Source organism: Homo sapiens, chromosome 12, assembly GCF_000001405.40.
Source record: "Homo sapiens chromosome 12, GRCh38.p14 Primary Assembly".
In the NCBI taxonomy this organism is placed as follows: Eukaryota; Metazoa; Chordata; class Mammalia; order Primates; family Hominidae; genus Homo; species Homo sapiens.
In genome coordinates, this window is record NC_000012.12 from 129,050,212 (window position 1) to 129,067,718 (window position 17,507).

The 17,507-nt window shown below is 44.6% G+C and overlaps 1 annotated feature.

Moving 5' to 3' along the window:
- Positions 14,324-14,829: an enhancer, noted in NCBI's record as "H3K4me1 hESC enhancer chr12:129549080-129549585 (GRCh37/hg19 assembly coordinates)". NCBI's record gives its function as "activates a minimal SCP1, AML or CMV promoter by ChIP-STARR-seq in naive H9 embryonic stem cells {active_cell/tissue: H9 hESC(naive)}" and the evidence as "EXISTENCE:reporter gene assay evidence [ECO:0000049][PMID:30033119]".

A 17,507-nucleotide genomic window follows, 5' to 3' on the forward strand; every position in this document is an offset into this window, starting at 1 on the left:
ACCCAGCACAGTTAACAGATTGAGAAGCTGCAATTAATATGATAACTTTTCACACAGGACATTTAATCTATGGATATAAATGACAGGAAATATGTATTGTTTTCAGCTGTGGAAAACTCTGAATCACTTAGAAGTTGTAGCCTCACTTGAACAGCTGAATGCTTTGTAAACAAAAATGTAAAAAGAGGAAATTAAATTGGGTCCTCTCTGTAGTGGGCATATAGAGATATAAGTTGAGTTTGTTACCGTGTGTGCGAGAGTGTGCAGGCACACCACGTCTGTGCATAGGGTGGGGGTTACGAATGCAGGCTCTGGGGCCAGGTGCACTAATTTCATAGCCCATATCTGCTGTGTATGAGCTGTATGAACTTGGGGAACTTCCATGGCTTTTATGAACCTCAATTTTCTCATTTATAGATTAGGAATGGTAACATTTGCCACCATAGGGTAGTTGTGAGAATGAAATATGTGAACTATCCTTGATCAGTGTTTGGCACATAGTGCTCAATACATTTTGCCTATTTTTCTTTTTTTTCATATTTATAACATACAGTTGTTTATAGTTTATATTATTATCACTATTGTTATATTGATAGAACTATAATTTAGGTTTAGGAAAATGCACAGAACTGCATATTTTTATTTTTGTTAAAATTTGTATTTATTTTTATTTTTGAGATAGGATCTTACTCTGTTGCCCAGGCTGAAGTGCAGTGGCATGATCTTGGCTCACTGCAATCTCGACCTCCTGGGCTCAAGTGATCCTCCCACCTTAGCTTCCCAAGTAGTTGGGACTATAGGCATGCACCACCACAGCTGGCTAACTTTTGTATTTTTTGAAGAGACAGGGTTTGCCATGTTGCCCAGGCTGTTCTTGAACTCCTGAGCTTAAGAAATCTGCCTGTCTCAGCCTCCCAAAGTGCTGGGATAACAGGCATGAGCCACTGCACCCAGCCTACAAATGTTTAAATATGTAACCACTCCTGAAACCACCACCCAGATTAAGATATAGGACATTAGCAGTACTCCTTGAAGGCTTTCTCATACCCCTTCTAGGCAATATAACCTTAACAGTAACCACTATTTGGACTCATATCATTATATATTATTTTGCCTGTTGTTGACCTTCCTACAAATGCAATCATATAGTATATTGCTCTTTTGTGTCTTCTTTTGCTTAACATTGTGTTTGTGAGCACTCAATTCATTTTATCTGTTATTTTTATTTTAACCACACTGTCAAAGAGTATAACCTCCTTCATTTATTATTTCCTACAATCCCAACATGATTTATTTGTTAGATAGCTGCTAAGAATTGCCTATCTGAAGGTTTCACATACAGATTGAAACTTCCTGATTCTTCTGAAAATTTCAAAAGCTTGAAGACACTGGGCTTGCATTTCCACATGCCTGATGTGAAGGGGTGGTCACCCCTTTTGGAAAAACATCTCCTCAGTCCCTACCCCTTTTAATTGTCCTCCTGACACTAAACCCAATTGTCAGTTGCTGTATATCATGATGTGTGCGCTCATGTGCTTCTTATGGGAGAGTCAAGAGGGAAGCCAGTCATGCTTGTGTTCCAAGAACAATGATAGAGAGGCTCATTCTCTGTGCACGTAAAGATTCTGTGCACCTGTTTAATATGCAAGCAACGTGCTTCTGTGCTGAAGAAAATGCAGTCGGGTATGACGACTCACACATTTCATTACCTGGCTGGCCCTGGCAGGTACTTGAGTTTCCTGCCCCAGGGGGACAGTATGGAGACAACGTTGCCATCCAGATTCCAACCTTGTCTTTGCCATGTATCACCACTGGTGTAAACTGATGACACTGACTTCCCTTGTAAACCTTAATATCCCCACTGAAAAAGCCAACCACAATGATAGCCACTGTTCTGCTGCCTCTGGATCACAGCTGCCCATGCCTTCTTCCCCAGAGATCATCATAGTGCCAGAGACACTTATTTCGATGATGGTGAGCTCTGACTCTTCTGCTTCTGAGGCATATATGGGGGTCCTGGAAGCCTGGGGTGACTTTATGTGTCCAGAGAAGAGACTCCGCAGATCCTTTATACTATGGGGCCTACAGAATGCTATGTGATAACAAGAAGCCACATTGACTCTATAATAAAGATTAGGGAACCACCATAGCCCCACCCAGATGTATCAGTTAGCTCCTGCTGCATAATATACAAGCACTAAACCCACAAGTACTAAACCCAGTGTTAATAAACATTTATCCAATGCATGCATCTCTGCATTGGCTGGACAGTTCTTAAATCTTGGCTGAGTTTACTGATGTTTCTATGGTCAGCTGGCTGGGCTGTCTTATGTTTGCAGCCTTGACAAGGGCAACTGTTCTACATGACTCATTCCTCAGCAAGCTAGCCTGGGCTTGTTACTATGGAGCCAGAAAGTTCTAAAGAATGAGCAGGAGCATTCAAGGGTTCTTGACACTTAGGTTTGGAGCTGGCACAATGTTCCATCTACTGTATTTTGTGAACTTAAGGCAAGTGGAAAGGTCAGCTGAGATTCAAAAAGTGGAGAAATATACTCCCCCCAACCGACACAGTACAGAGATATATTGAAAATAACTACACAATGTATATATAATATCAAATTATCATGTTGTATGCTTTGAGTACATAGAATATCAATTAAATATTACAAACTGAAAAAAGGGAAATGATGTGCACATGGGGAGAAGAATTGGTATAATCAACCCATTATACCAGTCCACACCACTAGACAATAGAGTCCACACTGGCATCGAAGCTTGGAGACACTTATGGGGTCCACACAGGGCTGGAAGAGCCCATATCAGCCCTTTACAGCCTTGGAAGCCAGTACTATGTCCATGGGGACTGAGGTGCTGTCATAACCCCACAGAAGCAGAGGGCCCCATGAACTCCTTAGCTAGCTTTCTACTGAAGGCCATTTAGGTTGTTCCCAGTGTTTCATCACGACAGTAAGCTCTGCAAGAAATACCCTTATGCCTTTATCTGTTGTGCAAATGCACGGGTCCAACTGTAGGATAAATTACCTCATGTACTTTGAAGAGTCAAGTCTTGCCTTTTTTTCTGGCGAGCTATCTAAGTATCTGCATGCAGGCTCCGTACAGGAGCGGAGCTCCTTGCAGCTGGCTTCTGGAGGCTCATTCGTCATCGGTGGCAGCAGTGTCTGTGGCCGGCAGCCACCTTCTGCACTGAATTCATTCGCTCGCCACACCTCTGCAGTATTCAGCACTGGTCTTCCCAACAGCATTCTACTGAGTGTGACTCTCATCTCACTCTGCCACGCACACACACAGCAGAGGGCTGCTTTAAATCCAATCGCCGCTGAATGGTTCAGGAACACAGAATCCTGCAGGTCAGCATTATTATTTAAAGAGAAGATTCTTTGCCCATCACTGACCTTGAGAGCCTGCCCAGTGCATGAAGAGGAGTGCCAAATACTAAGAGGAGAACCATTGATCGGGACTGGAAGGAGGAAGGATGACAGAGAGTCGTAAATGCTTATTAATGGCTTGGGAAGGGACCAAGGCTGGGATTTCCAGCTTGAAGATAAAAGGACAGAGAGTGAAGTTAAAGAATTGGAATATAAAATTTTAGCATTGGAAGGCCAGTTCCCAAACCTGGCTGTACATCAGAATCAACTGGGGGAAGCCTTTACAAATACAAACTCCTAGGCCCTGCCCCTGATCAATCAACCGCAAATTCCTCAGAGGGGGGGGGGTGCTTTTCTATCTAGATTTTGTAAAAGCTCTCCAAGTAGGTTTCAGGAACCACTGACCTAGCCCAGCGCTGTAATCCACCCCTCAGCATCCGTGAAGGACTAACCTGGTGATATTTACAGCTGCGATAATTCCTGGTTACTGAGCGCTTCCTATAGCCAGCCAATGTGCACCATTTCCTCACCCCCCCTCACAACTCTATGATGTTTGAACAACTATCATCCCATTTCACATATGAAATAATTGAGGATTAGAGTGAAGTAAACAAGGGAATAGTCATTAAGGAATAGAGAGTCAGTAAACTTCCTCAGCTAGGAATTAGCGGAGCATAGATTCCAACCAGCGACTGTCCACCCTCAAAACCTCCACCATTTAAACCTTCATTGCATCTTCTGTACCATGGGGTTAGCACCAGCAGCAAGCTCAAATCCGTGTCCCTATGACCCCAAAGCTCCTGCTCTGAACCCACTGGCTTTGCTGCAGCAATGGGGAATATACTTTTGCCCATCAGAGATGATGCCCACTGACTTTTCTTACAACTTCTCTATGTTCTAGGTCCCCCGTCCCTAGAGAACCCAAGAAACAGAGTATATATATATATATATGTTAAATATGTGTGTTATTTATGCATATAAGTATAGGTGTACGTGTATGCATTATGTACATGTGAGTTTTCTATGTATATATACATGAGTGTAGATACACATATAACAATGTACATGCATGTATAATGTATATGTGTGGTATGTTACATAAACATAAGTACATGTATGTGTGCCTGTATTATGCACATGTATGCTTTATATGTGTGCTGTGTGTATGTGTGTTAAACACATGTGCATATATAATTATCGCCACATATATCCAGCTGAGATAACCTGAATCCAGGCCTCTCTGCCCTGCCTCTTGTTGATCCCGTGAGAGGGGCATTTACAGTGGTCTGTCAGGACCTGTGACAGACTGCTGTTTGTTTCCAGAGCCTATGACTTCTCCCCGCCATTTAGTAAAAAGACCCCCTGTGCTTTAGCCAGGCCCATGCTGCTCAGCTGGAGGCACCTCCCTGCCTCCCCTCCAGCTGGAGTGACCTGGGGACAAGTTCGTGCTAATGAAGCAGAGGGAGTTGCCTGGCGTAGGCCAGGTCCTAAAGGAGCTTGCTCAGCCACCACTGCCTTTTATTTCCTCCTTTCTCCCTGCGGGTTGGAATGAGGGCACTGAGGTTGTGACACAGTTTTGTCCCAACGGCAGGGGTGACTGGCTCTGGTGGGTGGAGGGGGTGACCAGCTCTGATGGGTGGAGGCCAGGGGTGCTGCTACACACCGTATGATGCACGGGACAGTCCCCCCACAGAGGATCATCCACCCCAAAATGCCAGCAGTGCTGGGGTGGAGCAAGGCTGTAGATGAGGGCAATTCTTGGAGGAGCATCTCGGTAGAAGGAAGTGCATCCCTAGGTGAGCTCGTTGAGTCAGAGGCAGAGCCTCCCCTGGCCATGGACCATTCCTTTCTAAACTAGCACTTGAAATAAATGTCTCAATTTTCTTTTCCCTAGAAGCCTGCCTTGTACCCTATCTGATATGGGGCCTTATCAAAATGTAGGGCATCAGAGATTCCCCAGCTGACTGTGGCCTGGATGTCACACTGGGACAACAGACGTCCTTTTCTTATCAGGCAGCATCTGAGAGGAAGACCAGTTTTATCAGATAGGATGTTTAGTTGTAAGCAAGAAATGGACCTCATTACTAAAGTAAAATACGATTTACTGGAAGGCCACTGGGAACTCGCAGAATCAACAGGGAGTTGAGAAATAGACAGGGAACAGGGTGGCTTTGGAGGCTGGAAGACAGACACTGTGGAATGATCCCAAGCATAAACAACTGGGCAAGTGGCTCCTGGTGGCATGGGTGCATTCTTTTTTTTTTTTTAATAGTATCATTAATTCTTTTTTTTAATTATTATACTTTAAGTTTTAGGGTACATGTGCACAACGTGCAGGTTTGTTACATATGTATACATATGCCATGTTGGTGTGCTGCACCCATTAACTTGTCATTTAGCATTAGGTATATCTCCTAATGCTATCCCTCCCCACTCCCCCAACCCCACGACAGGCCCCGGTGTGTGATGTTCCCCTTCCTGTGTCCATGTGTTCTCATTGTTCAATTCCCACCTATGAGTGAGAACATGCACTGTTTGGTTTTTTGTCCTTGCGATAGTTTGCTGAGAATGATGGTTTCCAGCTTCATCCATGTCCCTACAAAGGACATGAACTCATCCTTTTTTATGGCTGCATAGTATTCCATGGTGTATATGTGCCACATTTTCTTAATCCAGTCTATCATTGTTGGACATTTGGGTTGTTTCCAAGTCTTTGCTATTGTGAATAGTGCCGCAATAAACATACGTGTGCATGTGTCTTTATAGCAGCATGATTTATAATCCTTTGGGTATATACCCAGTAATGGGATGGCTGGGTCAAATGGTATTTCTAGTTCTAGATCCCTGATGAATCACCACACTGACTTCCACAATGGTTGAACTAGTTTACAGTCCCACCAACAGTGTAAAAGTGTTCCTATTTCTCCACATCCTCTTCAGCACCTGTTGTTTCCTGACTTTTTAATGATCGCCATTCTAACTGGTGTGAGATGGTATCTCGTTGTGGTTTTGATTTGCATTTCTCTGATGGCCAGTGATGAGCATTTTTTCATGAGTTTTTTAGCTGCATAAATGTCTTCTTCCGAGAAGTGTCTGTTCATATCCTTTGCCCACTTTTTGATGGGGTTGTTTGTTTTTTTCTTGTAAATTTGTTTAAGTTCGTTGTAGATTCTGGATATTAGCCCTTTGTCAGATGAGTAGGTTGCAAAAATTTTCTCCCATTCTGTAGGTTGCCTGTTCACTCTGATGGTGGTTTCTTTTGCTGTGCAGAAGCTCTTCAGTTTAATTAGATCCCATTTGTCAATTTTGGCTTTTGCTGCCATCGCTTTTGGTGTTTTAGACATGAAGTCCTTGCCCATGCCTATGTCCTGAATGGTATTGCCTAGGTTTTCTTCTAGGGTTTTTATGGTTTTAGGTCTAACATGTAAGTCTTTAATCCATCTTGAATTAATTTTTGTATAAGGTGTAAGGAAGGGATCCAGTTTCAGCTTTCTACATATGGCTAGCCAGTTTTCCCAGCACCATTTATTAAATAGGGAATCCTTTCCCCATTGCTTGTTTTTGTCAGGTTTGTCAAAGATCAGATAGTTGTAGATATGCGTAGATAGCCTTATTTCTGAAGGCTCTGTTCTGTTCCATTGGTCTATATCTCTGTTTTGGTACCAGTACATGCTGTTTTGGTTACTGTAGCCTTGTAGTATAGTTTGAAGTCAGATAGTGTGATGCCTCCAGCTTTGTTCTTTTGGCTTAGGATTGACTTGGCGATGCGGGCTCTTTTTTGGTTCCATATAATCTTTAAAGTAGTTTTTTCCAATTCTATGAAGAAAGTCATTGGTAGCTTGATGGGGATGGCATTGAATATGTAAATGACCTTGGGCAGTATGGCCATTTTCACGATATTGATTCTTCCTACCCGTGAGCATGGGATGTTCTTCCATTTGTTTGTATCCTCTTTTATTTCATTGAGCAGTGGTTTGTAGTTCTCCTTGAAGAGGTCCTTCACATCCCTTGTAGGTTGGATTCCTAGGTATTTTATTCTCTTTGAAGCAATTGTGAATGGGAGTTCACTCATGATTTGGCTCTCTGTTTGTCTGTTATTGGCGTAGAAGAATGCTTGTGATTTTTGCACATTGATTTTGTATCCTGAGACTTTGCTGAAGTTGCTTATCAGCTTAAGGAGATTTTGGGCTGAGATGATGGGGTTTTCTAGATATACAATCATGTTATCTGCAAACAGGGAAAATTTGACTTCCTCTTTTCGTAATTGAATGCCCTTTATTTCCTTCTCCTGCCTGATTGCCCTGGCCAGAACTTCCAACACTATGTTGAATAGGAGTGGTGAGAGAGGGCATCCCTGTCTTGTGCCAGTTTTCAAAGGGAATGCTTCCAGTTTTTGTCCATTCAGTATGATATTGGCTGTGGGTTTGTCATAGATAGCCCTTATTATTTTGAGATACGTCCCATCAATACCTAATTTATTGAGAGTTTTAAGCATGAAGGGTTGTTGAATTTTGTCAAAGGCCTTTTTTCCATCTGTTGAGATAATCATGTGGTTTTTGTCTTTGGTTCTGTTTATATGCTGGATTATGTTTATTGATTTTCGTATGTTGAACCAGCCTTGCATCCCAGGGACGAAGCCCACTTGATCATGGTGGATAAGCTTTTTGATGTGTTGCTGGATTCGGTTTGCCAGTATTTTATTGAGGATTTTTGCATCAATGTTTATCAGGGATATTGGTCTAAAATTCTCTTTTTTTATTGTGTCTCTGTCAGGCTTTGGTATCAGGATGATGCTGGCCTCGTAAAATGAGTTAGGGAGGATTCCCTCTTTTTCTATTGATTGGAATAGTTTCAGAAGGAATGGTATCAGCTCCTCCTTGTACCTCTGGTAGAATTCGGCTGTGAATCCATCTGTTCCTGGACTTTTTTTGGTTGGTAAGCTATTAATTATTGCCTCAATTTCAGAGCCTGTTATTGGTCTCTTCAGAGATTCAACTTCTTCCTGGTTTAGTCTTGGGAGAGTGTATGTGTCGCGGAATTTATCCATTTCTTCTAAATTTTCTAGTTTATTTGCATAGAGGTGTTTCTAGTATTCTCTGATGGTAGTTTGTATTTCTGTGGGATTGGTGGTGATATCCCCTTTGTCATTTTTTATTGCGTCTATTTGATTCTTCTCTCTTTTCTTATTAGTCTTGCTAGCGGTCTATCAATTTTGTTGATCTTTTCAAAAAACCAGCTCCTGGATTCATTGATTTTTTGAAGGGTTTTTTGTGTCTCTATTTCCTTTAGTTCTGCTCTGATCTTAGTTATTTCTTGCCTTCTGCTAGTTTTTGAATGTGTTTGCTCTTGCTTCTCTAGTTCTTTTAATTGTGATGTTAGGGTGTCAATTTTAGATCTTCCCTGCTTTCTCTTGTGGGCATTTAGTGCTATAAATTTCCCTCTACACACTGCTTTGAATGTGTCCCAGAGATTCTGGCATGTTGTTGAATCTTTGTTGTTGTGTCTTTGTTCCCGTTGGTTTAAAAAAACATCTTTATTTCTGCCTTCATTTCGTCATGCATCCAGTAGTCATTCAGGAGCAGGTTGTTCAGTTTCCATGTAGTTGAGTGGTTTTGAGTGAGTTTCTTAATCCTAAGTTCTAGCTTGATTGCACTGTGGTCTGAGAGACAGTTTGTTATAATTTCTGTTCTTTGACATTTGCTGAGGAGTGCTTTACTTCCAACTATGTGGTCAATTTTGGAACAGGTGTGGTGTAGTGCTGAACAGAATGTATATTCTGTTGATTTGGGGTGGAGAGTTCTGTAGATGTCTATTAGGTCTGCTTGGTGCAGAACTGAGTTCAATTCCTGGGTATCCTTGTTAACTTTCTGTCTTGTTGATCTGTCTAATGTTGACAGTGGGGTGTTAAAGTCTCCCATTATTATTGTGTGGGAGTCTAAGTCTCTTTGTAGGTTGCTAAGGACTTGCTTTATGAATCTGGGTGCTCCTGTATTGGGTGCATATATATTTAGGATAGTTTGCTCTTCTTGTTGAATTGATCCCTTTACCATTATGTAATGGCCTTCTTTGTCTCTTTTGATCTTTGTTGGTTTAAAGTCTGTTTTATCAGAGACTAGGATTGCAACCCCTGCCTTTTTTTTGTTTTCCATTTGCTTGGTAGATCTTCCTCCATCCCTTTATTTTGAGCCTATGTGTGTGTCTGCACGTGAGATGGGTTTCCTGAATACAGCACACTGATGGGTCTTGACTCTTTATCCAATTTGCCAGTCTGTGTCTTTTAATTGGAGCATTTAGCCTATTTACATTCAAAGTTAGTATTGTTATATGTGAATTTGATCCTGTCATTATTATGTCAGTTGGTTATTTTGCTCATTAGTTGATGCAGTTTCTTCCTAGCCTCGATGGTCTTTACAATTTGGCATGTTTTTGCAGTGGCTGGTACCGGTTGTTCCTTTCCATGTTTAGTGCTTCTTCCTTCAGGAGCTCTTTTAGGACAGGCCTGGTGGTGACAAAATCTCTCAGCATTTGTTTGTCTGTAAAGTATTTTATTTCTCCTTCACTTAGGAAGCTTAGTTTGGCTGGATATGAAATTCTGGGTTGAAAATTCTTTTCTTTAAGAATGTTGAATATTGCCCCCCACTCTCTTCTGGCTTGTAGAGTTTCTGCCAAGAGATCAGCTGTTAGTCTGAGGTGCTTCCCTTTGTGGGTAACCCGACCTTTCTCTCTGGCTGCCCTTAACATTTTTTCCTTCATTTCAACTTTGGTGAATCTGGCAATTATGTGTCTTGGAGTTGCTCTTCTTGAGGATTATCTCTGTGGTGTTCTCTGTATTTCCTGAATTTGAATGTTGGCCTGCCTTGCTAGATTGGGGAAGTTCTCCTGGATAATATCTTGCAGAGTGTTTTCCAACTTGGTTCCATTCTCCCCGTCACTTTCAGGTACACCAATTAGACATAGATTTGGTCTTTTCACATAGTCCCATATTTATTGGAGGCTTTGTTCGTTTCTTTTTATTCTTTTTTCTCTAAACTTCTCTTCTCACTTCATTTCATTCATTTCGTCTTCCATCACTGATACCCTTTCTTCCAGGTGATCGCATCGGTTACTGAGGCTTGTGCATTCGTCACGTGGTTCTCGTGCCGTGGTTTTCAGCTCCATCAGGTCCTTTAAGGACTTCTTTGCATTGGTTATTCTAGTTATCCATTCATCTAATTTTTTTTCAAAGTGTTTAACTTCTTTGCCATTGGTTCGAACTTCTTCCTTTAGCTCAGAGTAGTTTGATCTTCTGAAGACTTCCTCTCTCAACTCGTCAAAGTCATTCTCCATCCAGCTTTGTTCTGTTGCTGGTGAGGAGCTGCATTCCTTTGGAGGAGGAGAGGAGCTCTGATTTTTAGATTTTCTAGTTTTTCTGCTCTGTTTTTTCCCCATCTTTGTGGTTTTATCTACCTTTGGTCTTTTATGATGGTTACGTACAGGTGGGTTTTTGGTGTGGATGTCGTTTCTGTTTGTTAGTTTTCCTTCTAACAGTCAAGACCCTCAGCTGCAGGTCTGTTGGAGTTTACTGGAGGTCCACTCCAGACCCTGTTTACCTGCATATCAGCAGCGGTGGCTGCAGAACAGCGGATATTGGTGAACCGTAAATGCTGCTGCCTGATCGTTCCTCTGGACGTTTTGTCTCAGAGGAGTACCCAGCTGTGTGAGGTGTCATTCCGCCTCTACTGGGGGGTGCCTCCCAGTTAGGCTACTCGGGGGTCAGGGACCCACTTGAGGAGGCAGTCTGCCCGTTCTCAGATCTCAAGCTGCGTGCTGGGAGAAGCACTACTCTCTTCAAAGCTATCAGACAGGGACATTTAAGTCTGCAGAGGTTATTGCTGTCTTTTGTTTGTCTGTGCCCTGCTCCCAGAGGTGGAGCCTACAGAGGCAGGCAGGCCTCCTTGAGCTGTGGTGGGCTCCACCCAGGTCTAGCTTCCCGGCTGCTTTGTTTACCTACTCAAGCCTGAGCAATGGCAGGCGCCCCTCCCCCAGCCTAGCTGCCGGTTTGCAGTTTGATCTCAGACTGCTGTGCTAGCAATGAGCGAGGCTCTGTGGGCATAGGACTCTCTGAGCCATGTGCAGGATATAATCTCCTGGTGTGCCATTTGTTAAGCCCATTGGAAAAGCGCAGTAGTAGGGTGGGAGTGACCCAATTTTCCAGGTGCCGTCTGTCACCCCTTTCTTTGACTAGGAAAGGGAATTCCCTGACCCCTTGTGCTTCCCAGGTGAGGCAATGCCTTGCCCTGCTTCGGCTCATGCACGGTGCCCTGCACCCACTCTCCTGCACCCACTGTCTGGCACTCCCCAGTGAGATGAACCCGGTACCTCAGTTGGAAATGCAGAAATCACCCGTCTTCTGTGTCGCTCACGCTGGGAGCTGTAGACTGGAGCTGTTCCTATTCAGCCATCTTGGCTCCACCCGGGATGGGTGCATTCTATCTGCTGCTTTGTCTCTGGGTCATTTGTTTGGGAGTCCCTAGCCCACAAAAGAGCATCTGCCTGGTTCCCCTGGATCAGGCTGCACTCACCTGCTGGCTGGACACCCAGTGCTGGCAGGAAGGCCCCAACCCTTTAACTTTGGTGGCAAAACTCAGCCCCTGGCCTTTACTGTTCTATCAAGAATGTGCTCAAGAAGGGCAGGTGATGCCCCAGGGAATTTGTGAAGGTAATAGAAAAGGGGTTTGGCCTGCACGTTGTGCACATGTACCCTTAAACTTAAAATATAATAATGATAAAATTAAAAAAAATGAAGGAATAAACTAGAAAAAAAAGAAAAGGGGTTTGGAAGCTATTGTGCTGTACCCAATAATTGCTGGTTATCCAAAACATGTAGCTTTGCCACTTCCTAGCCATGTGACTCTGACAAAATTCCTTTGACATTTGGAGCCTGAAGATCAAGACTAGAATCTTTAATGGACTAGAATCTCCAGTGATTCATATTCTCCAACACAAAGTTACTGAAATCTTCCCAAGCAGGTGTATGATATGACTAATAGCTGCTCGTAGAAGATTATCCTCCTTGCCAAGATCTATATATTGACACTTAGAGCTCAGGCTATTTGTCTGTCCAATTATATATCAACAAATGGAAAATTTTAATTGCACATATTGATTATGTATCAGTTATTTGAGGAGCAGCAAGACAGATGGGGAATTATTTTCAAAACCTTCGTATACTTTAAAGCATCTCAAAAGTAGGGAAGAAGCAGGGATTTGCTAGGCCATGGACCCAGATGATTTTTTGTTGTTGTTGTTAACCATAGTTATTTTCAAATACCTAAGGGACAACAGTGAGTTTTGCATATTCCTTGAGGCTCTTTGAAACTGGGAGAACTTAGATTTTGTTTATTTATCAAAGGAGAAAAATATAATTTGGGAAGTCATCTCACTTACTGGTGCCTGAGCTCTGCGCCAGGGTCCCTCCAGGCTCAGTGACTATCTTCCCCATGGTAAATCATAGGTGACAGTCATGGCTGGGAGAATGCCCCTTGGGAATGGACAGAACCACCCCAAGAGAGCAGCAAAGTCTACCTCATGTGGTGTCTGAAGACACTGCAGGTGCCAGGGCAGGAGGATGATAGGAAGGAATCTCCTGCCCCTTAAGGACGGGGGGGCCCAGAAAACCCACCCTGAAGGTGGACAGGGATGGTTCTTTTTCATGGAACAATGGAAATTTTGAAAAGGGAAATTATGCACTGAGATATTTAGCTTAATCTGGTGACTTGAGAGATATTCTTGGTTTACATCTTCCTGAAATGATAGGGATAGAAGAAGGCGCTGGTGATTTTGTCTTCTAGGGACCTGCTAGGAAGGACAAAAATCTCTATTTTCATTGGCGTTCATCTCTTTTCTGGGGTGTAGCCTTCACTACCCTTCTTGAGGTTGGAAGACCACGATCTGTTTTGTTACAAGGCCTGGAGTTCAAGAGAAGGCTGGCTTGAGGCCTTGGGCTTAAGTAACTCCAGCTTCTCTGCAGACCCACCAGGCTAGGGGGAGGCCAACGGCTGGCCAAGGTAGAGTTGGCTCCTAGCCAGACGATGCCACATAACACAGTCTCAGGGACCCTTGTGTCCAATTCAAGATGGTCACCTCTGCTGAGTGTTTGTTTGAACAGCTCTTCCTGCATGCATGCCAAGAAGAGGCTGCTGCTTGGTGGAGGTCTTGTGGCTGCCCCTGTAAGGTCACTCCAGCCACCTTACTGAGGTGGCCCGGACTTCTGGTGGGATGGGGCTCACCTGCTCTAGCAAAGGCTTGGCACAGGGAAGCAGCGGGCACAGACTGAAGCCATGGGGCTGAACTGGGGTCATGGAAGTGGAAGTTGGGGAGTAAAAAAAGCTTTGGACATACAGATGAGAAAGGGTGTGTCTTAAGTAGCAGCAGTAACCGCCAACAAAAGCACAGGAATTGGGGTCCACAGAGGCATGCTCAGGCAGAGCCACCGGTATGTTGTGAAAAGCTGGGGGGTCCACGCAGACCTTTACCAGCTGCAAGGCCTTTTCAAGGGGTGCACAGTCCAAGTGACATTCTCTGCACGCTATAGTGATGAACTGGAGGCTCAGGGACAAGAGTGGCTTGTGTTTGTTTCCTGGCTGTATTACGGAATCAACTCTTAACATCATAAAACACTTCAAAAACGAACGGGGAGCACAGGAGCCGTTGGGCAGCCTCCACTTTTCTTTGAGCAGCAGAGGCCACGCTGAGGTTTGAGCTTGGAAGGCAGCTCACATCTGCCACTCTCAGAAGGAGAGGCAGCTGGCACGGAGCTCAGGCCTGCTGTTTCCTGACATTAAGCTGCTTGCAGTGTCCAAGGAAGCTGTGGGGAGGCACAAGGACGTGCAACCCAGAAGAGCCTGACTCTTTGGAGCTGGGTCAGTACCTCCCACACTAATGCACATCTGCATGGAGCAGAGAAGGAGGGCAGGCAGGGCAGCTGGAGGACTGACCAGCACAGGGGCCTTCTAGGGAAAGCCAGGCTTCTGGGCAGCATCACTGCAGACAGAGCAAAGCAGACAGTCAGCGGACTAATGAGCTCACACCCGCCACGAGCACAAGGAGCAAGGCAGGCAACTGTCGCTTTCCTGCAGCTGCTAATAAAAATCACAATGAGGCCTCGGGAGGCCTCTTCACGCTCAGGATGATGCATCTGTTCTGCTCCTTCAGGCCAAGATTTCTTGGGCGCCCAGGTCAGGCAGAACCTTAAAAGGGAAAAGTAACCAAGTTTGGCCTGAATCCAACCCTCGCCTTTCCCACCAAGTTCCCGCTTCCACATGAAGATGTGCTTGTTGGAATGCAGCTACTCACTAAGCCGAGCAGCATCTGATAAATTAATAAGTCTTGTATTCATCAGGTCAGGGGGCGGGCTGCTACAGTAATAAACAACCCAACATACCAGTGGTATTGCAGAACAAGGGTCTGTTTCTTGCTGAAAAGAGTCTGATGTGGACGAGGTGCTCTCCAGATTCCCTCATGTGATGCCACGTGTCAACGTGCACATGGAGAGCTCACACTGGCTCTTACCTGTTGTCATTGGAAGTGACAGCTCTCATTACTGTTCATGGCCGTTCCCAAGAATTGGCTGCGTGCCCCCACCTGAACTGCAAGGCAGCTGGGAAATGCACTGGGCAATACTGTCTGTGCCTCAACTCCCAAGCCCAAACATGTATCAAGTATTGGAGGGGCTATAGAGGAAGAAGAGACCCCTCCCTTTTCTTGGAAACATGAACCAGCCAGGAAAATGTCTACTTACCAGTAGACTGGAGTTATCAACTGTATGGAATATGACTGGCAGAAACCTGGTTAAGGGGAAGGCTTCCATTAAGTAAGCTTAATCTGAGGAGGAAGGGCTGTTTCTTTTAAACCGTGCTTCATTCACACAGGGCTAGGCCTAGAAAGAAAGCCAGCAAGGTTGCTATAGAAAGAGATGACAAGAGGTTTTATTTTCTATGTGTCTCTTGAGGGAAGAAATTGCATCTAATTTATTTTTGTCTCCCCTGAAATGACCAGTACAGAGATGATGAAGGCTTGTCTTTGGCCCAGTGAAAGACGCTAGTGTCACGTCCATATAGCAGAGCAATTGGATTATATAAAATCAATCCTCAGGCAGCATTCAGTCTCCTGGTTCTCACTAGGTGGCTAACTTAAATTTATCAGATTGTGCTTTCATCACTCATGCTCTGTAAACCATTTATTATCTATCTGTCCATCCATCCATCCGTCCACCATCATCCACATCTATCTGTCCATCTAATCAAACTTCATCCATCCGTGCATCCATCCATCCATCCAACCACCCACCATTCATCTATTCATCTAGTGAACTTTCATCCATCCATTTATCCATCCACCATCCAACCATCCAGCCATCTACCATCCATTTATCTAATGAGCCTTCATCCATTCATCCATCCATCTACCCATCCACCAATCCACCATCATCTAGCCATGCAACCATTCATCCAAAAAATGTTTATTGATTGCTGACTCTTTGTAGGCATGACTCTAGTCATAGGGTATATAGCAGGGAACAGATTCAACTATCTCCTTACTCCTCTGGAACTCACATTCTACTAGGGAAGACACACAATAAGCTAAAAGCAAACAGAACAATTTTAGGGCGCTTTAAACGCTATGAACTATATAAGATGATCAGAGTGGAAGAAAGTGGCATGGGAGGGGTGAGGCTGCTCTGATGTGTTCTCTTAGGAATAGAAGTATGAGCCGAGACATGCATGATGGGGAGGGGTGAGACCTTGAGAATCTGGGGGAATAGAGTTCCATAAAGAAGCAGTATGGGCAAAGGCCTTGAGGTGGGAGTACGCTTCTTTCTTTTTATTTTCTTTTTTTTTTTTCTTTTTCTTGAGATGGAGTATCACTCTGTTGCCCAGGCTAGACTGCAGTGGCTCGATTTTGGCTCACTGAAACCTCCGCCTCCCAGGTTCAATCGACTCTCCTGCCTCAGCCTCCCAGGTAGCTGGGATTATAGGTGCCCACCACCACGCCAGGCTAATTTTTGTATTTTTAGTAGAGACGGGGTTTCGCCACGTTGGCTAGGCTGGTCTCGAACTCCTGACCTCAGATGAGCCGCCCACCTCGGCCTCCCAAAGTGCTGGGATTACAGGCGTGAGCCACTGCGCCCAGCCGCGAGTGCACTTCTTTTGACAGAGGAATAGACAGAAGGAAACCGGTGGGGTTGGAGCGCAGTGAGCGAGTGGGCGGGTGGTGGGCGTGAGGGTGGGTGGCAGGCACCTCTGCATCACATAAGACCTTTTGGTCATATGATGGAGTCCAGACTTTATTCCAGGAATTATGGGCCTCTACTGGAGGGTTTTAAGCCAGGAGTGACATGATTTAAATCATGTTTTTTAAAGGTCACTCTGTTAATTTTCATTTAGAAAACATTGACTGCCTACTTAGAAGATACACCCAGGAGCCTCGCAATGCTCTGCCTGCAGGGGGAACAAAGAAGAGCCTGGCGGAAGCTTTTAAAGTCATAAGACAATCATCGGCCACCGGACTCCGAGTCCATTAGCATAATTGGTGAGTCAGGCTCGATTCAACATCAGGAAAAACAGCTTTGAAAAATTCAAGGTCTGGCTGTCCAAAAAAGAACAGCTACACAGAGTGCTGGCCCTGAGGGGGCGCTCACGGGGACTCGGCCAGACAGGACGGGGTCTCTGCAGTGGCCCCACAGAGGTTTTCTGTGAAGGGGCTGACTCCCACTCTTCACCACGGCCCAGCATTCTCTGGGGTCCGTTAATACTGGCTCAGGAGTCTTCTTGAATGTCTAGAAAGCAAAACTCGTGGGAATGGAATCTGGGAGCACAGAAGCCAGGAGGAGGCAATGAAAGGGCGTCCTGGGGTGCATTGCTTTGCAAGAACAGCATACATCTCCCCAGTTAATGGCAAAATGTCTCCATGCTGCCTTTGGAACCTCTCCTCTGAGTCTCTATGCTGTGGTTTAGATGAGGACTTGCTCCTCATTCTCCAGGTGCCAGGGCTGGGGCGAGGTACTTGTGACCAGGCCTGGGCCATTCCGTCAACAGATCTATGTTTAGCCAGTGACTCACGCCGGCCAATAGGAGGCAACGG